Source organism: Homo sapiens, chromosome 9, assembly GCF_000001405.40.
Source record: "Homo sapiens chromosome 9, GRCh38.p14 Primary Assembly".
In the NCBI taxonomy this organism is placed as follows: Eukaryota; Metazoa; Chordata; class Mammalia; order Primates; family Hominidae; genus Homo; species Homo sapiens.
This window is the reverse complement of record NC_000009.12, coordinates 2,220,670-2,247,888: the sequence shown is the minus strand read 5'-3', so window position 1 is coordinate 2,247,888 and position 27,219 is coordinate 2,220,670. Positions and strand designations below refer to the sequence as shown.

At 41.4% G+C, this 27,219-nt stretch overlaps 1 long non-coding RNA gene and 1 pseudogene across 2 annotated transcripts in view, besides 2 other annotated features; both read left to right on the top strand.

The window, feature by feature from the left end:
- Positions 5,056–6,953: an enhancer, noted in NCBI's record as "VISTA enhancer hs1743". NCBI's record gives its function as "enhancer in: neural tube[4/4] | hindbrain (rhombencephalon)[4/4] | midbrain (mesencephalon)[4/4] | forebrain[4/4] | trigeminal V (ganglion, cranial)[4/4] | cranial nerve[4/4]" and the evidence as "EXISTENCE:transgenic organism evidence [ECO:0001131][PMID:17130149]".
- The window catches only part of LOC107987043 (uncharacterized), a 70,735-nt gene continuing 48,785 nt past the window's right edge, over positions 5,270–27,219 (top strand). Inside the window, exons 1-2 of one of the 2 annotated variants that reach the window (XR_007061395.1) lie at positions 5,270–5,462; positions 17,201–17,308. This is a non-coding gene — a long non-coding RNA (uncharacterized LOC107987043). The remainder of the gene's footprint in view (positions 5,463–17,200; positions 17,309–27,219) is intronic. The other variant, XR_001746600.2, reaches the window with a different exon arrangement.
- Positions 5,888–6,762: an enhancer, noted in NCBI's record as "NANOG-H3K27ac-H3K4me1 hESC enhancer chr9:2241127-2242001 (GRCh37/hg19 assembly coordinates)". NCBI's record gives its function as "activates a minimal SCP1, AML or CMV promoter by ChIP-STARR-seq in primed H9 embryonic stem cells {active_cell/tissue: H9 hESC(primed)}" and the evidence as "EXISTENCE:reporter gene assay evidence [ECO:0000049][PMID:30033119]".
- Positions 18,648–18,928, top strand: RN7SL592P (RNA, 7SL, cytoplasmic 592, pseudogene; annotated as a pseudogene).

Below are 27,219 nucleotides of genomic sequence, written 5' to 3'. Positions count from 1 at the left end.
TAACATAGCTTAAAAGTATATTAAACCCTGGCAAGAATTTTTAAATATTGAAGATAAAGTTAATGTGTGACCCAGCAATTTCACTCACATGTATATACCCAAAATAACTGAAAACATATGTCCTCCCAAAAAGTTGTACATGAGTGCTCATAGTGGCATTATTCAAAATAGCCAGAAAGTGGGAACAATTTAAATGTCCATCACTTGATGAATGAATAAATAAATTATTATACCCATACGATGTAATATTACTGAACAAGGAAAAGGAATTAACTACTGACACACACTCTACACAGATGAAGTCTGAAAACATTATGCTAAGTGAAAGAAGCCATACTCAAAACATGACGTATTACATGACTCTATTCATATAAAATATTCAGAATGGACAAATCCATACAAACAGAAAGCAGATTAGTGATCCCCAGGGGTTGGAGAGAGCAGAGAACAGGGAGTGACTGCTTAACAGGTTCAAATGAGGTTTTTTGTCGGGGGGCGATAAAAACGTTCCAAAATTAGATAGTGGTGATGGTTGCACAACTTGGCGAATATACTAAAACAAATAACTGAATTGTACACTTTAAAAAGATAAATTTTATGGTACATTAATTGTATCTTAATAAAGTTGTTAAAGGAAAAAAAAAGCCTAGAATGAATAGCTCTCTCAAAGTTGCTAAGAATGCTAGTTCCTAAGAGTACAATTACAAAACAGACACCTGAGAAATGAAGAACATAAATGGAAAAAATATAGGAGATTCATAGAAACAAGATTCTCTCTGGAGCTTTGTTTCTCTTAATGTTGTGCAAAGAATTAAAAACAAATCCTGTAAGATAGACCTGAAATAAGGGTGAAAATGGAGTGTTACGTGTCATTTTACTTTGATAACTTAAAGGCATGGAATTATTATTTGTAAATGCCTTGTTAAACACATATCAGAGTCTGATCCTTTTTTAAAAAAGACTTATTTAGGGCAGGGTACAGTGGCTCACACCTGTAATCCTGGCACTTTGGGAGGCTGAGGTGGGCAGATTGCCTGAGGTCGGGAGTTCAAGACCAGCATGACCAACATGGAGAAACATCGTCTCTACTAAAAAAACAGAATTAGCCGGGGTGGTGGCACATGCCTGTAATCCCAGTTACTTGGGAGGCTAAAGCAGGAGAATTGCTTGAACCCGGGAGGCAGAAGTTGCAGTGAGCTGAGATTGCGCCATTGCATTCCAGCCTGGACAACAAGAGTGAAACTCTGTCTCAAAAAAAAAAAAAAAAAAAAACTTACTTAGAAATAATTTCAAACATACAGAAAAGGTATAAGAATAGTACAGAGAACACTTATGTATACACTGTTCATTAACAGTTTGCTGTACTTGCTTTATCGTTTGCGCTTGTGCTCTCTTCCTCTCTTTCTTACCCCTTCCTCCATTCTTCTTTCCATCCCCTTTCTCTCCTCCCCTTTCTCTCTTCTCTCTATGTATATATACAAATTTATTTGTATTTACATATATGTCAAATATCTATCTCAATATATAACATTTGAGACAGATAATATATATTTGAAAGTTGGAAATAGCATGTCCTTTGACCTAATTTATCAATGTGCAGTGTATATTTCCTAAGAATAAGAATATTATCTTAGTGTTACATATCCAGAGTAAGATTACCAACTTCAGTAAATTTAACATTGATATAATACTTTAATATAATCTACTATGCAGCTTCCAGTTTTGTCAAGGAACATGGTGTGTTAGTTATCTATAGATACATAACAAGTTACTTCAAAACTTAGCAGTTGAAAGTAGCAAACATTTATGATCTCAGTTTCTGTGAGTTAGGTGTATGCATGTGGCCTAGCTGGGTCCTTTGACCAGGTTATAATCAATGTGTAGGCTAGGGCTGTGGTCTCATCTGAAGGCTCAGTGTGGGGAGGATCCACTTTCCTGCTCACTCACATGGTTGTTGGCAGGATTCAGTACTTCACTGGCTGTTGACCAGAAGTTTCTCTCATATCTTCACCACATGGTCCTCTCCATAGGGCTGCTCACAGCATGGCAGCTAGTACCTTAGAATAAGTGAGGGAACAAGCCCCACAGGTAGAAACTTCCAGCATTTCTTTGTAACCTTATCTTTGAAGTGACATTCTATTACTTCTACCATCTTCTATTCATTAAAAGCAAGTCAGTAAGTCGTTAGTTCAGCCTACATTCAAGGGAAATGATTATACAGAGGGGCAAATATCTGGAAGTGGGACCATTTTAGTGGCTGCCTATCAGACACAGTAATGTTTTTTCAGTACAGGATTCAGTCTAAAATCATATATCGTAGTGAGTTGACATATCTCTTTAGATTTTTTTCTTCTTTATGACACTGACATGTTAAAAACAGTTCCTGTTTGTAAGATGGAATGTTCCTTGTTTGGGGCTTCTATAACGCTTCCTCATCATTAAACTCAGGCTATGCATTTCCAGTCAAATAGTACAAGAGTAGTATTACCTCCTCTTTGGGGCATCGTATCCAGAGGCACATGATGTCTGTCTGTCCTTTATTGGTGATGTTCATTTCAGTCACTAGTCAAAGGGGTATCTGATTTCTGCACTGTGTAATTATTATTGTTCCCCTTGCAACCAAAAGGCAATCTATGAGGAGACATTTTAAGAACATGTAAATTGCTCATTCGTCACCAAAATTTTATCTAAATTGAACATTGGGTGACTCTTGCCAGAAACAATCTTAAGTACACAGTGGTGGTAAAATAATACTTTTTTCCCCCAACTCCAGCTCTCCTGCTACATCTACCAGTTGACACTAGGTATTTGTATTAGCCTGCTCAGGCTGCCATAACTAAATACCACCTACTGGGTGCCTTCAGCATCAGACATTTCTTTCTCACAGTTCAGAGGCTGGACATCCAAGATCAAGGTGCCAGCAGAGTAGGTTTTTCTTGAACCTCTCTCTTTGGTTTGTAGATGACAGCTTTCTTGCTGTGTCCTCGCTGGTCTTTCTCTGTGTACATGCCCCAGGTGTCTCTTCCTCTTCCTTTAAGGATACTAGTTTTATTGGATGTGGGCCCCACCCTATTGACCCCATTTAACCCTGCTTACCTCCTTAAAGGCCCTATCTCCAAATACAGTCACATTAGGGGTTACAGCTTTAACATACACATTTTAGGAGGACACAATTCTGTTTATAACAGTAGTCTACTGTAAAAAGAGCCATCCTTCTCACACATTTACTTATTTATTTCTATGCTTATGAGTATATAGAATGGATTCTATACACTTTTTCAATGTTTTATACTTTGTTGCTACCAATAATTATTTTGGTATTCAAACTGTCCCAGACATGGGCAGGGGAAGCCGTTCCAGCCTGCTTCCTCTGTCCTCATGACATGCCCCCAGTATGTTTTGTACATTTCCTTACATTCTGGAATAACAAGACATTTCAGGCCCTCACTAAATAGAGGAGGTGGTTGCACAACCCTGGGAATGTACTAAATGCCACGGGATTATACACTTTAACATGATTGATTTTGTTATGTGAATTTCACCTCGATTAAAAAAAAAAGTTCCAGGCTTATCTTACGTATTTCCTGCCTCTGCCCTGGAAACATTTTTTCTCTAAGGATCCCTTATTCCTCTTAGTTAGAATACTACATTCAAAAGCAAGGTGTCGCTGTTAGGTATGGCCACTGCTACCAAGATTTCTGCTTCAGTGGGCAAAGCCAGGAGATAGATATACATATATATGTATCACATTAATACATACACATATATACACATTTCAGAAATTATGAGTCCACAGCAATACCTCCAATTGCAGTCCATTCTTCTTACATCCATGTCTTCTCTCTTTCTGTATTTGTAACTTTCTTCTCCACAGTGAGAACTCTGGATCTCAACAACAATGTGTTTACTGATTTGCTCAATACCACGAAATATCTAAAATCATTTCAGAATCCTTCTGTGTCCATGCTGTACAAAAACAAACCCAGTAAAAAGAGTTTAGTGTTTAAGTCCTTCCTGACTCCCACGCTACCTAAGTCTAATGGAATATGGTCTAATGGGTATTCATAAACTACTCAGATTTCTTTTTCCCCCTTTCAGTGTGGTTATTCATTTGAAATACAGTTGAGTTTATTTTTTTCAGTTTGGTTTTTAGTTTTTTCTCCCTTCCCATACTTTTTGGTTTAATCTTTTAAATAAATAGAACATTAATAAACTTCCAAAAATCAAAAATAATACAAAGAGCTATACCATAGAAGTGTTTCTCCCTCTCATATTCCTTCCACCCTGTTTCCCACCTTCTTGTTAGGTGACCTGCTTCATCTCACTTCATTCTTTACTGGTTTATTCCTCCTATATTTCTATTTTTTTGAAAGATATGCAGGTACATGTATTTCTCCCATTTTTCCTTTTCCTCACAAAGGTTAGCACAGTATACATCCACTCTTTTGCAGTTGGTCAGGAAGAAACGCTTTCCATGAGCTTTGGAGACTAGCAGCCTTCTCTGCAGTATCTTATGTTCATTTAGCAAACACCTGAGTCTCCACAGAGAGCCAAGGCTGATCAGTGAGTCCCAAGTCTACAGTGAGCTGGCTTCATAGTGTAGACCTTTCTCAGGAATGCTTCACGCCTAGCCCAGCCAAAGGACTGCGCCCTACATTGCATTCTTTTCTGTGCCTTGTTGACACCCTGCGGTTTCAGTGTGCAGACCCATGTCTGTCACTGCCTTAGATGACTGTTGTAGACCCTCACCTTTACGGAGTACAGACGTATTATCTAAATGTTCCTTGTTGTCTGGTTCTGCCCTCCCTCACAAAATCAATCCTCCAGGAACAAAGCTTCCTCCTATACTACGTCATGATGCTGAAATCCTTCCCCTCCCCTCCATCTCTCAACTTACCTCGACAGCTATCTCTTTCTCTCTCTCTCTCTCTCATGCTCATGCGCGCGCACACACACACATACACACACTCACACGTGTTTTCTTTAAAGGCTTAAATTTTCCATAACAGTGGGGGGTTCCCAAGGAAAAGGGGTGAAAGTTTTAAAAATAGGTGCTTGCTGGGTAATTTGCCATTAAACATCAGGGCACCATTCTAGTAGGGAGATGGCTCTTAAACCCTTCACTTCTGCTCGCCAGGGTCCTGCCCTCAGCACCTCAGGGAGGGCTGCCTCCCCGAGATCAGCAGCTGGGGAGGTGCGGGCGGGGGTCAGGGTGACAGCCAAGCTAAGTGGAGGTCCCAGGAGGCTGGACATGATAACCACAGTGACTGTGGTTGCTCCGCCCGGTCCTCTGGCGGCAGCCAGAGCCTTCCCAGGTTTTGCCTTCGCCCGGTCCTCGCCCTTCAAAGCTTGGTAAGGTCCAGCCGTCCACCTGTGGCTGTCCTACAACAAAACCACTTCCAGGAAAAGGAAAGGGGTACGTGACAGGCCGAAGAAGTCAGGCTACAAACCGGATGACAACCGTAAGGAAGAAAGAAAAGAGCAAGCCACGGGGGTTCTCAAAGGGTTAACACAGCCTGGCATACACAAAGGATGAGGATGAGGGCGAGGCAAAATGAGAAATCGGGTGCAAGAAGTAGGGGGAAAAAAACCTTCCACCCTTTCTTTTTGCATCCAGAGGTACATCTTCATTTCAGAGTAAACCCAGCCACAAATGAGGGTAGCTGGGAGCATGTCCCTTCTTAGGCAGCTGAGAGGATGAAAGAGCCTCCCAACGCCTTTGATGCAGGCTGCATATTCGAGCACATTTTGAAACGTGCATCTGTGCTGTGTTGGGCCTGGAACCCCGGCGGCTCGGGGCTGGCCTTGGGCGGGTGAGAAGGAAAACGTTGCCTGGCGTTACCTGCGTCTGGAATGGGTTCCCGGAGCAGCGCTAGGCAAAACCCGGAGTGGATCTTGGGAAGAAAAGCAGGCGCTGCTCCCGGGCTCAGCACCCGGTTTCTTAGGCGCCGAAAGGTCCACCGTTTGCACACACCAGGGGTGGAGGGCTCGCTAGCGGTGGGAACCTGGAAGGGGCCAAACATGCTGTTCAGAATAATTGAGGAGGTAGAATATTCTTCCTGCTTGGTAGTGTGAAATCACTTGTTTATGGCTTCCATTCAGTCTCCGGTTTGCAGATAATGCCCCTTTCTAAGCGGTGAAACTCATGAATGTTGATCTTGCAAATCAAGCTGACACTAGCAGCTTTTGTCCACCAGGGCGTACATCAAGGCCTGCCTTCTCCCCAGCACGTTTCCCCCCTCCTCGCCATGCGCATCCCAGGCTCCCGGATTCATGAAAGGCGCGCTCCGCCCCAAGGCGACCTGAGGGTCTCTAGCAACAATCCAGGGGCTTGTCTGCCAAGCGCTCGGGCCCCACTTGGAGCGTCCTGTTCAGAGCCTCAAAGAGAGGCCCTGAAGACAAATGGCCCCGACAGGAGGAGGTCACCCAGTGAAGGGCTGCGGGAGCTCTAGACCCTTGCCCGGAGGCCTAGGCGCTCGTTCTTAAACGCGCAAACCGAGCCAAGCCCGGACAAAACCCGGGCTCCGAGGAAGGAAGCAACGAAACAATCGCATTTATGTAAAGGGAGGATCGAGGAGAGAGAGAAGGCAAAGCCAGCCAGGATGCGAGGATCTGAAATAATGAGATCAGACGGGGGACGGCGGAGGTTAACTACACCCACAGAAGCCATCGATAAAAGAGGCTTTGCTGGAAGTCAAGCCGACCGCTGGTTTTTAGAGTGGCTAGGTGGTAACTCTGGATCCTGCTGTAATAAGATGCCTTTTAATTAATGCTAACGAGCTAATGTTTATTAACTGTTCAAAGCTCCAGAGGAATAGGTGCGAACTGCAGACCAAATATGTCTTTGGGTGTTGTGCGATGAATGTGACTGCTGAACGAATTAAGAATAGTCAGAGGCACCCTCATTCTTAGGGATCCAGGCTCATGAATAAAGATATTCATGCGGCCTGGTGCGGTGGCTCACACCTGTAATCCCAGCACTTTGGAAGGCAGAGGCGGGTGGATCACCTGAGGTCAGCAGTTCGAGACCAGCCTGGCCAACATGGCGAAACCCCATCTCTACTAAAAATACAAAAATTAGCGGGGCGTGGTGGCATGCACCTGTAGTCCCAGCTACCTGGGAGGCTGAGGCAGGAGAATGGTGTGAACCCGCGAGGTGGAGGTTGCAGTGAGCCGAGATCGCGCCACTGCACTCCAGTCTGGGTGACAGAGCAAGACTCTGTCTCAAAAAAAAAAAAAAAAAGATACTCATGCTTAATTTAAATTGTATTATGTGGCAGTCTCCAAACTGGTCTCTGTAGCAGAGGCCACTCATTGTGCTTCAGAAAGTTACTGTTTACCTGTGTGTGTTTCTGTTGAGAATCATTTCAAAGCTGAGGTTGAGCTGTGGGAAGGATATATTTCCACACACAAGTCTGTACTTTAAAAAATTATCTTGGTTGCTTGGTACAGGATGAGTTACCAAGAGGGTCAGGATTCCTGCCGGCCTGGCAATATTTCCTGCTTCCCACCACCCCACCCACTTCCCCAATTTACAAGCCCTGCCCCCTCCCCTAAAGAAGACCTGTGAATGACAGGCTAGTCCTCTGCCTCCTGGTCCCAGCAAACAGGAGCACTGATTCTTGGCCTTTCTTAATCGACCTTGCTGTGACTTTGACCACCATAAAGTTCACAAGAGAAGAGATCATAAAGGATGATCAAAGTCTAGTTTTCTGAACAGGAGAGATGATCAGAGTGACATTTGGGGTTGGCACACATTTCCCAGACAGAGGGAATATGGCGAGTTAAGGCACCGTGGGAAGAGTGTCATCCATATGTCATTGTTCACTCTTTTACATTAGTTATGTACTCCAGTCCTGGAATCCAAAGGTCAACAGAATGCAGCAAGTGAACTGCTGCCCTTCTGTGGGATGAATTCTTCAAGAACAATCTTGGCTTTGTCAGTGTTTCTTACCTGCATGCCTTCTTGGATCTTGGTGTTTTCTGTCTGTTGGCTTTGACAGTGTCCAGATTGGAGGTTATTTTCATCCATGCAGTCTTCCTTCCCTCTCATTCCCTGGCCTTTGAAGAATGACCCCTCTCTGACTCCACATGGCTCTGGTAAATCAGGACATGTGACCAATAGGGAATATGACCAGGCCAATCCTATTCTCTCTTCCAGGAACTGGGATTTTCAATAGAGAGACCCAGGATATAAGAGGTTGAACAAATTATCCCGTAACTACACCCTAAGGACAGGGTTCCAAGGGTTGTGAACCCTGGAGCTGCCCTGTTGCTGGTACCTTCCAAAACATATTCTTGAGCATTTCTCTCCATTTTACAGGCTTCAGAAAATATTTTTTGTTCTTGCTTAACTTCAATTAATACATTAATACACAAGTCATACAGAAAATAGCAAGTTTAGAAATCAATTTTTTTTGTGAAATATACATCCAGAAAACTTCATTAAAGTGTATTACAAACAACTATAAAGTGAACGTTACGTATGTGTTTACTACCAGGGTTGGGAAATGAATATTATCAGTAGCCCGGGTGCCCTCTCTAACCCACTGCATTCCTCTCCTTAATGATAAAACCACCTTGCTCTTCCCTAACTACTCTGCTAACATTCTTGACCATCATTTCCTTGCTTTGCTTTACAGTTTTATCACTGATGTATGTATCCCTACACATGTTGCTTAGTTTCATCTGTTTTAACATTTGTGTGAAAGGAAGGAGGATTTTGTGTCTTTACTCAACATTACATTTGTGGGAGTCATCCATGTTATTATGTATAGAAGTAGGTTATCCATGTTATTGCTGTATGATAGTCCATTTGTAAACATATCACAGTTATTTATTAATTACATACCTGACAAACATTTGCATTGTTGCCACTGGGAATATTACAAACAGTGTTGCTATGAGCATTTTTATTTATGTCTCCTGATATATGAAATCAAATTTGTCCAGGGGAAATCTCTAGGAGTACAATTGCTGGGGTATAGGGTTATGTACATCTTCACTTTTACTAGACAATGCCAAACTGTTTTTCCAAAGTAGTTGATCCAATTTACAGCCCCACTTGCCCTAACAGAGAGTATGAGAGATTCTGTTATTCTACATCCTCTCCAAACTTGATATTTTCATCTTTTTAGCTTTTGCCCATCTGGTGACTTTGTTTTTATTACGATTACCAGAAAACTGAGGAGGTGTGCAGCTTTCCATATTTGTATTGGACATTTGTCTCCAAAAACTAATTACTATTTCTCTCTTTCTCTTTCTCTCTCTCTCTCTCTCACACACACACGCAAACACACATACATGTGTGTATATTAACAGTTCAACTTAAATGATCAAAATAAATAGATCAAATTTCATGTTTTATTCAACCACCAAATTCAAGGAAAATTGTGTTCAAATTTTCTTACAAATACATTTGTTGTTTAATCTATATTTACCTCAGCAGGTATCATTTCTTAAAACTTTGGGCGCTAATTAGGAACTCTTACTCTTGAAACTATTTCATTTGACTTTCCACTTGAAGATCTGCCTAACTTCACTAAAACTTGACATTAATCCCTGCTCTTGGAAAATAACTATTTGCTTCATGCCTGTTGGGTGACATACACCTTAACCATAGATGCTAGCATGAAGCTGAACAAATATCCTTCAAAAAGGGCCTGTCATGAAATGAAAACTTTTGTGGGTTTTTTTGTTTTTGTTTTTTTGCCTGGTAGATTTGTCTGTTCATGTGTAATGAACATATAATGAAAACAGAATATCAGCCAGCCCGACCCAGGTATGACCAAACACACCTTTGCACCACTATATTTAGGCATTCAGCAAACTTCTTACTCTCTGCTCACTAGCCACCAATTTTTGTTCTGTGTTCTCCTCCTTGATCAATAAAAGAATAATGAGGAAATGTAAGGCATAATGACACTTAATGAGAACCTTCTAGGTGCTAAAACATTGGGATATGGTTTTGGGTTCTGTTCTAGCCCAGGGGACCATCTAGAACAGGAATGGCAAATTGGTTTCATTTCACATGTGAATTCCAATTTGCAATAATGTATGGAAAAAAATTCCAAAGTCACATCTGGGTTTAGGAAAGACTGTCATGACAGTTTAGTCACATCTGCTGTGGTGTGGGTGAATAGTTCTGTCATCTGCAATCTAGAGCGGTGGTTCTCAAATTTGGCTACCCCAAAGGGGACTCATCTGGGGAGGTTTTACATATACCAAGTCCAGGCACCACCCAAACCAACTACATCAGAAACTCTGGGAGTGGCCCAGGTATCTGTATTTTTTCAAAACCCTCAAGGTGATTCCAATGAGTAGGCCAGATTTGAGATGCATAGGTGTAGGGCAGTGTTACTTAAACCTGTTTTCATTATTGCCACACCCTCCATCACCACAGCCTTTCCAGGATCCTTTTAAGATACGTTTTTTCCCAATCGCCACCCCATGAAATGTTAATACCACAGATATACTGTGTATGTGTTTATGTGCTGTAGGTATATCTGTACTTTATACATAAAAAGGGTAAGATTTTGTCAATTCCCTCCACCCTACAGCCCTTGATCAATTTTCACCCCCTTGAAAGCAGTACTGGCCCTGTTGAGAATCCATGATCTAGAGAACAAGAAATAGCTTTTAGAGAATGATTTATAGTAACAAAAATAATACTTGGTACAGTTTGAGATTCGGGTGTTAATAATTTACTCTTTGAAAGCAAAACTGCCATTGTAAGCATAGCAGTGGAGGTACAAAATTAAGCACTGTGGCCATGGATTCACTCGATTATGTTGTTAATAGATGTTAGAAATAATTAAGGGGTGCTGTTAATTGAACCAGGCACTATCTGATGTGACAGTCCCCTGCTGGTAGATAAGTACTAAGAAGTGAAAATGTTTACTTTCCTAGCAAAAGAAACTGCTTCTATGGTAAATAATCCCCAATTACTCAGTCATTATTTTTATTTTTTATTATTAACAAAATTGATTTTTTTTTTTCTGATGGAGCTTTGTGCTTTATGGTGGTGTCCGATGCTTTACTATTACTCACCAGCTTAAAGAAAAAAACTCTTAGCATGAGTGTTAACCAGACATTTATTCATCCATAAGCTACAGGGATCCTTATCATTATGTATTTTATTTATTTACTTTTATTTGTTATGTTTTTGAGATGGAGTCTTGCTCTGTTGCCTGGGATGGAACGCCACTGCATGATCTCAGCTCACTACAACCTCAGCCTCCCAGGTTCAAGCGATTTTCATGCCTCAGCCTCCTGAGTAGCTGGGATTACAGGCACACATCATCACAACCAGCTAATTTTTGTATTTTTAGTAGAGACAGGTTTTCACTGTGCTGGACAGGCTGGTCTCGAACTCCTGACCTCAAGTGATCTGCCCTCCTCAGCCTCCCAAAGTGCTGGGATTACAGGCATGAGCCACCATGCCCGGCCTCAATATGTATTTTCACTTTTACTTTACAACTGAAAAAAACTCAATATTTTATCATTTATGTCAGATAAATACACATTTAAAGACTTATAAATAAGGTAAGGATGCAGATGTAGGTGATTCTCGTCCATTCCCAAAGTGTCCCCCTAGCCGGTCTTGATAGCTGGCTTGAGTGCCAACCCTGACGCACACTTGCTCTGTCATCCTGGGCAAGTCACTTAACCCATCTGTGCCTTGGTGTCACATTTGAAGAACTGAAAAATATTTGTGCTACAACAAAGGCTTCCAGTAAGAATAAACATATAAAGCTGTGTCTTTGGCTGGGCACAGTGGTTCACGCCTGTAATCCCAGCACTTTGGGAGGCCAAGGTGGGAGAATCATTTGAGTCTGGAGTTTGAGACTGAGACAAGCCTGGGCAACATAGTGAGGCTCTCATCTCTACCAAAAAAAAAATTAAAAAATTAACCAGGCACGATGGTGTGTGCCTGTAGTCCCAGCTACTCTGGAGGCTGAGGTGGGAAGATCACTTGGGCCCAGGAGTTGTAGGCTGTGGTGAGCTATGATCGTGCCACTGCACTCCAGCCTGGGGCGACAGGGCAAGATCCTATCTCTAACAACAACAACAAAGCTGATTTATAAAAGTAGAAAGGTGCTACACAGATGAAAGATAATGGTGATCTGATGCCACTTAACAAATATTTTTTAGTCCCCTAGAATCCAATTGCTACCCTTAACACATGGAGCCCAAAGATAAGTACGACACTCATTCTGGTCTCAGTGAGATCCCATGGACAGCCTTCCTGCCGATACATCTTATTGGTGGTTTCCACTACATGTAAATTCTTGTCCCCAGAAAGGAGAAGAGGTGGACAAGCTTACAGATAGGGATCAAGTAACAAATATTCAGACACAGTGAGTATTATATGGAATAGGCAGTTGCAGTTCAGGACTGTCTTTTGGTTTAGGAATCACCAATGCATCTTCAGTGCTATGGTATATAACCGCAGCGCTGCTGCAGTATCTCAACGTTGTCACAGTTGTGCTCTGTGCATTTGTCCACTGACACCAGTTGGTCAGTGCTGGGTCCTTTATTCAGAGTAGACACTTTGAGGGAAGGACCTGTGGGCTCCTCAGTGGGCCGCTGAGCTCACAGATTCCTGATTCCAATTACATGCTAGCCGGTGGAAAGAGGAGCTGAACATGGGTATTGAACAGTGAGGGAGGCAGAGCACTCAGCAGACCCAGGGCCTTATTCATGCCAATGTCATTCTTAACCAACTCTGTCACCTTAAGCCCTCATCTGAAATGGCGAGTTCCCACCTTCTCTCTGGTTTGTCTCTGGCAAATCCTGCCGTAATACAGAAGAGCAGGGCTGCCGCTTTTCTCCCCACCATCCCAGTATTTGTATGCTCTCCTGCCCTCACCCCTTCTTCTGCTATAAGCCCCATGGCAGCAACTTTTAAGACTCTCATTTAGTGACACACAGAAATGAAATGAGAATGCATTGAGCTGAACCTGCCGTCAGCACACTGGGTGCAGGAGAGCTGAAGATTTCCCCAGCTGTGAGGACAACCTGCCACGCTGATCCAGTTACCAACAGCCCCTGCTGCAGAAGGGAGGCAAGTCAGTCTATGCCCAGCCCAGTTTAGCATTGGCAGGCTTTTGAGTACATCTAAGAGCCTGAGGAAAGCCAGACACAGAGAGAAGGGGGCAGCTGAAAGAATGACTTAATAAAGAGCCACATGAGTCGCCTCAGCCTTGGGGTAAATGAAGTTTGCTGTAGGAGGCTCCCTTGGCAGAGGCTCCCATGAGACATGCCAGCTGCCTTAAAAACCCTTGCCACTCCTTGCAATTAAAAGGCAGCAACCTCATGTGCCACACTCTCAAAAATGTGCGTAATGCATTTCAGCAAATATAAGTGGCAGATCCCCCAATCTTGAGTCCATCTGTGGTGGAGCTTTCAAGCCCTACGCTAATAGAGAGATGACACAGGCCAGCTGGTTTGAGCTGGTTGAGCCTGAGAAGCAGGGAGAGGCGGGGGAGTCACAGTCTTGCTGCTGGCAGTAAGACCAACTTGTTTATTTTTTAATGATGAGCACCTCAACACCAGCAGCCTGTTTCCCATACTCAAGGTCTCCTTAAAGTTCAGCTCCTCCTAATTATGTAAGACAGCCAGACCTATGAAGTATGGAACAAAAAGTTGTGATGGTGGTATCAGTTGTTTTAATTTAATTGATTTTATATTATTGAGAGAGTTCAGCAAATCACATATAATCTCACGAAGGTATGCTGACATAGCAGCTTCGCTGAGCTAGAGACTCTTCAAATCAGAGTAACTGGCCCAAGCATCAGCTACGTTTCATTTTTCAGAGATCCCAGTTGCATTAGGTGCTATTCTAAGAAGGGCAGCCACTTTCTCTCCTGATTTAATCACCAGGATCACATTTTTGTGACAGATAAATCTGGTATAATCTTCACCACACTTAAGGTTGGCTGTTGACCTAGAACGCTCTAAAATTATTTTGTAGGGCATAAAAACCTCCTGGTAATGCCGCAAGTACCCACAACAGGTATCAGCAATGAGAGCTGTTACCTGAGCCCAAGCCCGCCTGAGGTACTGCTGCCCTCCCCTACTCTTACATAAAGTGTTACCTGTTCCCACTAACACTCTTCCACGCTCTCCTTCTATTGAGAACAGGACATTCACACACTACTTCCCCAACTCCTACCCCTCTCCTTGAATCACAACAGAGCACAGACTAGAACATGAGCACCTCAATTTCAAAACGTTTATCTCTTCTAGTTGAAAATGATTTTCTAAATTATTGCCAAAATATAGCTTTTATCCTCCATCCTCATCCATTAGAATGTATGGCAACTACTACCTAGCTAAACATGACGTATTACTTATCTCCATAGTCACAGTATTGATTCACAGGACCTGTAGGACATCTCTGAATATGCCTGTTCATCAGCATACTGGAGACTTTTGGATAGAGTTTTGCTCCAGGGCAGAGTTTCCAAGTCTGCATTTTGCATGCAGAATGTCAAAAAATGTTAACATGTGTACAAAAGGGTTCCATGGTCCACGAGGTTTGGGAACCACCAAATACCAAATAGCCCTTTTGGAGATTCTTAATTTGAATTACCACAGTAAAGACTCTAAAAAGTCCTACAGTCAAGAAAACATCCATTTACCCAGCATTTTACAAACACATTTGACCCCAGAACATACCCAGATACCTTGAGAAAACACAGATGTCAGAGCAGAGGAACAGGGCATTCCTAACTGAGAAGCTGTTAATAATCAGGGATGGATGCTAGTACACCTTGTTAAATGATGTTCAGCTGTGTAGTGTGCAGGGGCATCCTGGACCTAAACTTACAGTGTTAATAGCATTGATTGAGTTTATCTGTGCCAAGTACTGTGATAAATCCTTCACCTATGCATAACCTCCTTTATTTTAATCTCTACAATAACTCCATGAGGCACATTCTAAATACACCCAATTTTGCAACTAAGGGACAGAGAGATTAAGTAATCTGCTCAAAGTTATACAGTGTTTTTTTGTGTTTTTTGTTTGTTTGTTTGTTTTTGTTTTTGAGATGGAGTTTCGCTCTTGTTGCCCAGGCTGGAGTGCAATGGCGCAATCTTGGCTCACTGCAACCTCCACCTCCCAGGTTCAAGCATTTCTCCTGCCTCAGCCTCCCAAGTAGCTGGGATTACAGGCACCCACCACCACGCCCAGCTAGTTTTGTATTTTTAGTAGAGACGGGGTTTCTTCATGTTGGTCAGGCTGGTCTTGAACTCCCAAGCCCAGTTGATCCACCCGCCTCGGCCTCCCAAAGTGCTGGGATTACAGGCGTGAGTCACCATGCCTGGCCTAAGGTTACACAGTCTTTAGTGAGTGAACGAATAAGCAGTAGAGTCCAGGTCTACCTGTCACCAAAGTCTGTGTTCTTAACCAAAAAGCCCTCTGCTTCCCTGTGGAACCTTCATATCCTCAGAGCTGCCTCGGCAGAGATTTGAATGAGGACAAGCATGAATCAGGAAGACAGAGTCCCCAGGAGCTCTAGAATTGAGAAGTCAGAGGACTTTCCTAGTCCAGCCTCACCCAATCTAGCCATTGTGACCTACCTCAAATGAGTAACTACTAGAGTCATGGATATGACTTAGTATCTCCAGTGATGGGGCCTGAGTTGAGAATTCACAGCTGCCATTCTTGTGTTTCTGTCAGGGGTTTATGTTGCTCTTCTTACAGTGGGGACAGAAGCAGAATCTCTAGCTTGAGCTTCAGAATGAAGACTTTTAATTGCTCAAAGCATTATTGTGTGCCAGTAGCTGCTCAGTGTTATTCTAAGTGTGGTCCGTGTGTCAGCAGCAGCAATATCATCTGGGTACTTGATAGAAAGCCAAATCCTTGGGCCCCACTCCAGACCTACTGAATCAGAATCTCTGGGGGCGGGGTCTAAGAAACTGTTTTAGCAAGGCCTTCAGAGGGTTCTAAGACATTTTAAAATTTGAGAAGCCCTGATCTTATTAGCCCAAATCTCTCATCTTATAGATGACAAAACTACATCCCAAAAAGATCAATGGCTCATTCATGATCCTAGAGTGAGTAGTGATAGAGTCAGGTGGAGTGGGTAGCTGTTAATTTTACCTATTCAGTATTCGCAGCCCTTTCTTTTGGTAATAGTACCCAGATTTTGCTTGGGGTATCCTCCTTCCTCCTCCTTCTGTTCATGTGGTTTGGATGGGACTAACTGATGCTTCCAGATTCAAGGGTGAGGACATGACTCAATCTGGCCAGAGTAATTTATCCAAACTCTGACCCCAGCCTGGTCACAGACACATGGATTAGGGATGGACACATGACTACGCCAGGCCAATGAAACTGGGTTATGGGAATTTTACTGGAATCTTGAGAGAGGAGCTTTCTTTTCACTGAGACTGATAGCTATAAGCATGACATTTAAATGGCCTGTGTATCATGAAGCCCACCAAAAGAGAAGTCCCATCAGGAAGGCACTTCTGGCCTTGTTTGCCCTGCTCTGAGCTCCAAAACCTTGTTTTGAACTGTCAGCTCAACCTCAGTCAGTCCACTACATACTTAAACAACACCCAGGGGGAGACAGTGGAATGTGAGCCTCTCACTGTGTTTGGGAGTTATATGGAGTTTACTAAACATAAAGATATTCATTGAGCACTAAAAGCCAAACTCTGGGCTCTGGTAGGAATATTTCAATCCTTCTTAAATAGTAATAATTTCTAACAAATGTGGCCAAAGAGATAGTTCTGGTCCAGATTCCCCAACTAAGCAAAAGCGTGGATAACAGATATTGTGGAATTCCCTTAAACATGCTTTAGAAAGAAAGCAGTAGTTCAAAGCTTTTCTGTTAATCATTCTATGTTCAATATTAGCTAAATTACAAGAGTACTTCCAAATATCAAAATATCCTCACTTTGAAATAAAAGTCTTCAGTACTACAGCCTCCCTAATCAATAAATGGCCTGAGCTCTAGCAAGCTATCTCCCACCCTTGCTGTAAGGCTGTAAGAACACATTCATTGAGCATGATATGCCAGGTACTATGCTGAAACTTTGGTAGGTGTCATCTCGTAATCCTAGAAACAGCCCTTTGAGGGATCAATTAGCTAGTATCCTATGAGCATTCACTGTATACCAGACATTTTTAAGCACTCAACAGTGTGCTTAAACAACTAACTCATTTTATTATTTCACTTTATTACAGGGGTTACATAATTAGCAGAAGGGAGGAGCTTCAAATCCTGGCACTCTAACACAGAGATTGTTCACTTAAGACTACACAGTACTACTTATGAAAAAAAACTGGCAGAAGGTAAGACAAATGATCAACTTCCTTTTGGTGCCCTCTCCAGGTTAGTGAACCAAATAGGTTCTAGGTTAGAATCATCACCATAAAAGTAGGGGCTAACATCAGTGACGTCTAAAATTTCTTTTGGATCTATTCTACAACACTACGGATTTTTGGACATGATTTTTTTTTGCTACCTCTAAAGCAGTGAGACCCTCTGGAATTTCTGTGTAAGAGAGTTTTAGAAGTGGCAACCTGTTTGTTAGATAAAATTAGGAAACTTGAAACTACAGTTACATGGCCAGCATGCTGTATTTGGCTTATATGCTTATTCAGAGCAGATTTTAGAGGCTGGGGGTTAACAGAAATTGCTATAATGCCTCTCCCAGAAGCTACCCCTTGGTGTCTCCAGATATGAGTCATTGTTTCAGAGGTGTGGGAAAAGAAGAAACTCCTGCTTTCGGCAAACCTGTATTGGGTTTGGTCTGATATTGAAGAATTTTGCCCTTCCTAAATTGTGGAGGTCATCTCACCCTCCAGCTAAGCCAAGCAGAGGGTGACAATGAATCCATACATGACAAAGAAAGTACTCATGCTTCAGGCCTCTATCTAAGTCATTTAGCTAAATGCTTTTCCACTGGAATAAGATTTTGGACTTTATTTTAATCAGCAGGTTTTTCCTTTGAGAGGAGTTTCAAATCTCCCTCTTAGGAAGGTCATGCTTCCTTTGCCTTGCTAGGCCTCGGGATAGAAAATAGGATTCTCTGGAAAAAGCTATCACTTAGTAAATAATTGATTGGCGATTGCTTTGGATTTGATTCGCTAAGCTGAGAACCTTCGACACAAACTGTGGAGGGTTCAAGAATGAATGCAAAGTATGTGTGGTTTTTACAATTTGGTGGTCTAAGCAAGGTAGAGGATGTCTAGCAGGGCAACAGTGTTCCTTAACCTTGTTTTCTTTGGTTTAATGTTCACAAGTCATAGAATATACAAATAGAACAGTCACTAAATGCTTTTTTCCTTTGAACAAATAGTTTCAGTTCCTACAGATACCACCATTGTACTCCAGTGGCTTAAAATAGCACTGTGGTCACAATGTCAGTCCCTAGTAGACCTTCCAGTTTTTCTAGCTAGCATTTCCCTAATACCTGTGATAATGCGTCTCCCATAAGCTAACAAATTAGTTCAGGTGGAGGAATGGGGCAGGGAGACAGCTGGCTTCATGCGAAAAAGAAAATGCTTTCTAGTCCTATCCGGATGCAACAATATAGAGGAAATTACAAAGGGGTGTCTAGTTCCTGTGTGGGGCAGGAGGAACACACTTAGAAAATGTAGGAACTGTCAAAGCAAGGACTCTCTCTTAGCTGGGTGAGGTGGCTTATGCCTGTAATCCCAGCATTTGGGAGGCCAAGGCAGGGGGATTGCTTGAGCCTAGGAGTTTGAGACCAGCCTACACAACATGGAAAAACCCTGTTTCCACTAAAAATACAAAATTTAGCTGGGCATGTTGGTGCATGCCTGTAGTCCCAGCTACTCAGGAAGCTGAGGCAGGGGGATTGCTTAAGCTTAGGAGGTCAAGGCTGCAGTGAGCCGGGATTGTGCCACTGCACTCCAGCCTGGGTGACAGAGCAAGACCCTGTCTCAAAGCAAACAAACAAACCCTCCCTATCTTCAGATATGTGCCCAGTGCTGGGAATGGAAAAATGATAAGACTCAGTGCTGTTCTAATAGAGTAAATAATACTTCATAAGGTTAAAGAGGAAGTGGGTGATGCTAAGAAACTAGAGATGTAAACTACTGTTTCCCAAAAGATTAATGGTGAAGAGAAAGGTAGCTCCAGGTGAGTGCAATGTTGAGTGAAGAATTAATTTATAGTGTGTGTCTGAGGGTAAGGGTGCTTGAGCATATTAGTAAATGATAGAGCCATGTTGAGGATGAGGAGAAACCGACAGTGTCTTTCAAGGTACTTCTCCCATAGTATCAGTACATGTGTTTGCACGTTGATTTATTGGTTTATCCCATTCTCCTTACTATGCACTAGGCCAGTGCTAGACTCTGGAACAAAATGATGTCCCCTGACAACACACACAAAAAATTCACTCTCCACTCTTTCTTCTTCCCTGAACTCCTTCCCCAGAAACCACTTCCAGGTGTGCTTCTGCCTCATGCTCAGGGCCACTCAAAGCCAAGTCTTTCCAACTTTATCACTTCCTTTGTTTTGAAGAAGGGTCAGAGGAAGTGCTTTTACCATGTGTTTTGTTTCTTGTGCAAAGCCCACAGGACCTGATGGTTTGGCGCCCCCCAGGGGTACCCAATGGGCCTCTTTCCTGCTCACTAACAGATAAGGGGAACTGAGGGGCCCACGGAGGCCAGCCTGAATGATAAACTTTATGTACCCTAAATTTTCTAATATTTAGGGGTCAGGGGAAGGGGAGACTGCAGTCCCTGGAAGCTTTCTTTAGTGTAACTTGAGGCTAAGATGCCTAAGATGTGCAATGAAAACTAATTCTGCTCTGCCCTAGTCCAATGACATTGGACAAGTGGCTTAAATTTCCTCATATGTAAAACGGGGCCAATAATGGCTAATTTCAATGTTTTTGTTAGAATAAAATTAGACAGTGATTTACAGATGAACTTCAAAATGGCCCAGAGAAGATGATATGACCCATGTTTTCAGTCTCCAAAGTCCGGAGGGTCTTTGTTGTCTCAGCGAGTAAATAGAGTTGAGACCAAGCCAGTCCCACTCCTAGAGAGTTAGTCCTCATACGTAGAACTAGAGCAGATCCAGACACACTGGAATGGCTCAGAACAGGGGGCACTTGTGTTGCCAGGTGCCAAGTGGTGTTTTTATGAAATCAGGGTCCCCATGGTCAGCTGATCCCACGTGCGTGCTGATTGGCCAGCCTGTTGTCTAGATAGCAGTTCAGTTTCCATGGATCTCAACCCAGCATGATGCAATCAGTAGGGATGTGAGGCACTTGTTGTTTTGCTTTTCCCTTAGTCTTTAATCATCCAGTGGGAGTCAAAAACTCACTGCCTTGGCAAGAAACCCCAGGCTTTGTAATCAGTCCTTCCCTGAAAATCAGGTCATGGTGTTTCAAAAGACAATTTTCTGAAGGAAGATGTTTTTTAAAGAAGTGTTCAAACTTGCTGGCATTTTTACAAGGATAGTATTGATCATCCATGTCAACCTTCCTGAAGAACTGTTTGTCTGCCTTCCACTATTGCCACTTGCAGTCTGCCTTATCAAAGTAGAGGGCTAGGGTGAGACAGACCTGTGTAATGAAGAAGCCAAACAGAGATTCAGAAGTGTTAAGCCTCCCCTAGGAGAAACAAATGATCACTGGGACTTAGGCTATCTGTAGAAAAATAAGCTGTCTGCACTTACGTGTTGGTAGTTTTCATCATAAAAATCACAGAATATTAGAGCTACAAGGAGCCCTAGAGCTTTTCAGTTCATCCCCTTCATTTGATAGACATAAAAACTTACACCAGACAGGTGGAGTGATTTGCCAAGGGTTACCCAGAGAGTGAAAGCTTTAGGACTTGAACCCGTGTCTTCTAACTCTCAAGCACAAAATCCTATTCACCGCATTTGTGTTATTAGCTAGTTCTAGGAGACATGCTGAGCTTTGTAGAATGAAGGTAGAAGGACAATATTTATACACAGAGGGGCTAAGCTCAGTGAAGGTGGGTGGGAAGCATGGGGAAGTTGAGCAGGCGCCCCTTTATTAGCCCAGGAAGGGAGTCAGCCAGCAAGAAGAGCTCGCTGAGGTATGGGATGTCTCAGGGAAGGACGAAGATTGTAGCTGTAGGACTTTACTTTAGGACATTCGGAGAGGTTTTAGGACAAATTTCTGGTCAATCACATTCTATAAACCAGAAGAGGGTGGGGGCAGTGAACGTGTTTGTGTTGTACGCTTCTATAGCCCCAGCACCTGGCATACTCGTTCATTTATTTACCACGTTTACGGAACACGTATGGCTGCCGGGGAGAAAACGAGGTGCAGATATTGGCAGAGGCAGGAAACCAAATTGTACATAAATAAATGTAAAAGTTACAATGTATTCAGAAAGCAAAACTATACATTTCCACAGGTAGATAACTTACGTTGTATGTACATGTTATTTAAAAAATGAATGAGAAAAAACACACCAAACTCATTGTGGGAAGGAGACTGGGGAATCATGGTTTAAGTGAATTGCAGGAGTTTTTAAAAATAAAAATGCACTTATGTGTTAGAAATCAAAATAGTGGCCATTCCCTTTGGGAGGTGGTATAGTCACTGGAAAGGGGTGGGGGAGTTTTGATTTGAGCACTGGGTGTGTTCATCGGGTGAAAATGTATGGGGCTAAATTTTCAAGTATGACTTTTCTGTATGTGTTACATTTCCATAAAGTTTACCCAAACTGTATTCGGGTGATATTTTTTCTATTAGTATTTTTTATTATAACTTTTATTATTTATTATTTAGTATATTATAGTATACTCACTTCAGGTATACTACTTATGAAGTGGTATAATTTTATTTCAGTATGAACTTGGATTCATTATAAATATTTTATAAAAATGTGTAAAAAGAAGTATAAAATCACTAAAAATGTATAAAAAGTATAATTAAAATGTTTTTTAAAAGAAGAGAATATTGAATTATTTAAAATGCTCAATTAAAACCACAAAAGGCAGACAAAAAGTGGAAGACAAAATCGGAGCAAAGAAGAAAGGCAACGAATAGGAAATATTAACAAACATGGTAGATAACAATCCAACTATATCAATAAAGCCTTTGAATGGCAATGGACTTAATACACCAATTAAAAGACAAAAATTATTGGAACGGATCAAACCCAACTACATGTAGTCTGCAAGAAACCCACTTTATAATATAAAAACACATATAAATTAAATGTAAATACATGGAGAAAGATATGTCATGGCTGTCACTAATCAAAAAAAAGCAGAAGCACCTACATTAATTTCAGACAGAGCAGACTTCAGAGCAAGGAAAGTTATTAGAGTTAAAGATGAACATTATATCATGAGAAAGGGGCTCATTTTCCAAGAAAAGTTAATATTATAATCTTTAATGTGTGTGCTCCTAACAACAGAGTGTCAAAATATTAATATATGAGGCATAAACTGATAGAAATGCAAGGAGAAATAAATGAATCCGCTTTTATAGTTGGAGGCTTCAACACCCCTCTACCAGAAATGACCAGATCCTGCAGGCAGAAAATCAGTGAGGACAGAGCTGATCTCAATAGCACCATCAATCAGCTGGATATAATTGACATTATTGACCATTCCCTCTAACATAAGCAGAATACACATTCTTTTCAAGCTCACGTAAAACAATCACCAAAATAGGCCATATTCTGGACCATAAAATATGCCTTAACAAATTGTAAATAATAGAAATCATGCAATGTCTCCACTTGGACCCCAGTAAAAATAAACTATAAATCAATTAGAGAAAAATAGCACACAAGTTTTGAAATATTTGGAGATTACATAAAACATTTCTGAAAAACATATGGGTCAAAAATATCTCAAGAGAAATTTTAAAATATTTTGAATAAAAGGAAATTAAAATACAACTTTTCAAAAATTTTTTTTTTTTTTTTTTTTTGAGACGGAGTCTTGCTCTGTCGCCCAGGCTGGAGTGCAGTGGCGTGATCTCGGCTCACTGCAAGCTCCGCCTCCCGGGTTCACGCCATTCTCCTGCCTCAGCCTCCCGAGTAGCTGGGACTACAGGCGCCCACCACCACGCCCGGCTAATTTTTTGTATTTTTAGTAGAGACGGGGTTTCACCTTGTTAGCCAGGATGGTCTCGATCTCCTGACCTCATGATCCACCCGCCTCGGCCTCCCAAAGTGCTGGGATTACAGGCGTGAGCCACCGCACCCGGCCTCAAAATTTTTGAGATGCAATAAAAGCAGTGTTTAGGGGAAAATGTATAGCATTGAATGCACATGCTAGAAAAGAAGAAAGATCTAAAATCAAGAATCAAAGTTTCCACCTTAGCAACTAGAAAAAAGAAGAGCAAATTAAATTCAAAGTAGCGGTGCCTCACATCTGTAATCACAGCACTTTGGGAGACCAAGACAGGAGGATAGCTCAAGCCCAGGAGTTCAAGACCAGCCTGGGCAACATGGTGAAGCCCCATCTCTACAGAAAATAAAAAATTAGCCGGGTGTGGTGGCATAGGCCTGTAGTCACTGTTACTCGGGAGGCTGAGGTAAGAGGATTGCTTGAACCCGGGAGTTTGAGGCTGCAGTGAGCCATGATGATGCCACTGCACTCCAGCCTGGGTTAGAGCCTGTCTCAAAAATATTAAATTCAAAGTAAGTAGAAGAAAAGAAATAATAAAAATTAGAGCAGAAATCAATACAATTGAAAACAGGAAGTCAATAGGAAAAAATCAACAAAACAAAAAGCTGATTGTTTGAATGAAAGGATCAATGAAATAAAAAAGCCTCTTGCCAAACTAACTAAAGAGACAATAAAGATTATTAATATCAGAGATGAAATAGGGGCCATCACTACAGATTCAATGGCCACTACAAGGAAAATAAAGGGCTACTACAAATAACTTTATGTCCACAGATGTGATAGATTAGATAAAGTAGACCAATTATTTAAAAGATATAATATGCCAAAATGCATACAGGAAGATAAAGACAACTTTAATAGTTCTATATCTGTTACATAAATTGAATCAATAATTAATAACCTTCCAAAACAGAAAGCACCAGGCCCATCAGGGTTCACTGCTGAATTCTATTAAACATTTAAGGAAACTATACCAATTTAATGCAATCTCTTTTAGAAGATAGAAGCAAAGGGAATATTTTCTAACTTATTCTATGAGGCCAGCATTGCTCTAATACTAAAACCAGACAATGATACTACAAGAAAATAAAACTACAGACCAATATCTCTCTTAAATACAGATGCAAAAGTCCTCAACAAAATCTTGGCAAATTGAATCCAACAATGTATAAAAAGAATTATACATCATAACCAAGTGGGATTTATTCCAGGTATGCAAGGCTGGCTCAACATTTGAAAATCAATTAATGCAATCCATTGCATCACAGGCTAAATTTTTTAAATTGCATAAAATATCAACAGACACAGAAAAAACATTAGACAAAATCCAACATTCATTCATGATTTGTAAATTAAAAAAACCTCTCAGTAAACAGTGATATAGTTTGGATGTGTGTCCCCACTCAAATCTCATGTTAAAATGTAATTCCCAATGTTGGACGTGGGGCCTGGTGGGAGGTGATTGGATCATGGGGGTGGATTTCTCATGAATGGTTACTAGTACCATCCCTCAGCTACTGTCCTCACAATAGTGAATTCTCACAAGATCTGGTTGTTTAAAAGTGTGTGGCGCCTCCCCCATCTCTGTTTCTCACTCCTGCTCTGGCCATGTGACATGCCTGCTCCCCGTTTGCCTTCCGCCATGATTGTAAGCTTCCTGAGGCCTCTCCAGAAACCAAACACATGCCAGCACTGTGCTTCCTGCACAGCCTGCAGAACCATGAGCCAATTAAACCTCCCTTCTTTATAAATTACCCAGCTCAGGTATTTCTTTTTTTTTTTTTTTAAATACTTTAAGTTTTAGGGTACATGTGCACAACGTGCAGGTTAGTTACATATGTATACATGTGCCATGTTGGTGTGCTGCACCCATTAACTCGTCATTTAACATTAGGTATATCTCCTAATGCTATCCCTCCCCCATCCCCCCACCCAACAACAGGCCCCGGTGTGTGATGCTCCCCTTCCTGTGTCCATGTGTTCTCATTGTTCAGTTCCCACCTATGAGTGAGAACATGTGGTATTTGGTTTTTTGTCCTTGTGATAGTTTGCTGAGAGTGATGTTTTCCAATTTCATCCATGTCCCTACAAAGGACATGAACTCATCATTTTTTATGGCTGCATAGTATTCCATGGTGTATATGTGTCACATTTGCTTAATCCAGTCTATCATTGTTGGACATTTGGGTTGGTTCCAAGTCTTTGCTATTGTGAATAGTGCCACAATAAACATACATGTGCATGTGTCTTTATAGCAGCATGATTTATAATCCTTTGGGTATATACCCAGTAATGGGATTGCTGGGTCAAATGGTATTTCTAGTTCTAGATCCCTGAGGAATCGCCACACTGACTTCCACAATGGTTGAACTAGTTTACGGTCCCACCAACAGTGTAAAAGTGTTCCTATTTCTCCACATCCTCTCCAGCACCTGTTGTTTCCGGACTTTTTAATGATTGCCATTCTAACTGGTGTGAGATGGTATCTCATTGTGGTTTTGATTTGCATTTTTCTGATGGCCAGTGAAGATGAGCATTTTTTCATCTGTCTGTTGGCTGCATAAATGTCTTCTTTTGAGAAGTGTCTGTTCATATCCTTTACCCACTTTTTGATGGGGTTGTTTGTTTTTTTCTTGTAAATTTGTTTGAGTTCATTGTAGATTCTGGATATTAGCCCTTTGTCAGATGAGTAGATTGCAAAAATTTTCTCCCATTCTGTAGGTTGCCTGTTCACTCCGATGGTAGTTTCTTTTGTTGTGCAGAAGCTCTTTAGTTTAATGAGATCCCATTTGTCAATTCTGGCTTTTGTTGCCATTGCTTTTGGTGTTTTAGACATGAAGTCCTTGCCCATTCCTATGTCCTGAATGGTATTGCCTAGGTTTTCTTCTAGAGTTTTTATGGTTTTAGGTCTACCATTTAAGTCTTTAATCCATCTTGAATTAATTTTTGTATAAGGTGTAAGGAAGGGATCCAGTTTCAGCTTTCTCCATATGGCTAGCCAGTTTTCCCAGCACCATTTATTAAATAGGGAATCCTTTCCCCATTTCTTGTTTTTGTCAGGTTTGTCAAAGATCAGATGGTTGTAGATGTGTGGCATTATTTCTGAGGGCTCTTTTCTGTTCCATTGGTCTATATCTCTGTTTTGGTAACAGTACCATGCCGTTTTGGTTACTGTAGCCTTGTAATATAATTTGAAGTCAGGTAGCGTGATGCCTACAGCTTTGTTCTTTTGGCTTAGGATTGACTTGGCAATGCAGGCTCTTTTTTGGTTCCATATGAACTTTAAAGTAGTTTTTTCCAATTCTGTGAAGAAAGTCATTGGTAGCTTGATGGGAATGGCATTGAATCTATAAATTACCTTGGTCAGTATGGCCAAAAAAAAAAAAAAAAAAAAGATCATAGGCCTAAATGTAAAACAAAACAATGAAACTACTGGAAGATAACATAAGAAAAAATCAACATGACCTTGGATTTGGATTTGACTTTTTAGATATAACACCAAAGACACAACATATGAAAAAAAAATTGACCAACTGAACTTCATTAAAATTAAAAGCTTCTGCTCTGTGAATGACTGTCAAAAGAATGAGAAGACAAGCCACTGACTGGGAGAAAATATTTGCAAAAGACATGTCTGATAAAGAACTGTTATCTAAAACATACAAAGAACTATTAAAGCTCAACAATAAGAAACCAATTTGATAAAAATAATATGAGCCAAAGACCTTAACAGACATCTCGCTGAAGAAGATATGCAGATGGCAAATAAGCACATGAAAAGATGCTCCATATCTTATGACATCAGGGGAATACAGATTAAAATAACATTGAGATACCACTACCCAACTATTAGAGTGGCCAAACTCTAGAACACTGACAACCCCAAATGCAGACAAGGATGTGGAACAACAGGAATTCCCATTCATTGTCGGTGGAAATATAAAACAGTATAACCACTTTGGAAGACAGTTTGCAGTTACTTACAAAAGTAAACATATTCTTATCATAAAACCCAGCAACTGTGCTCCTTGGATTTACCCAAAGGAGTTGAAAACTATGTCCACACAAAAACATGTGCGTGGGTGTTTATAGCAGCTTTATT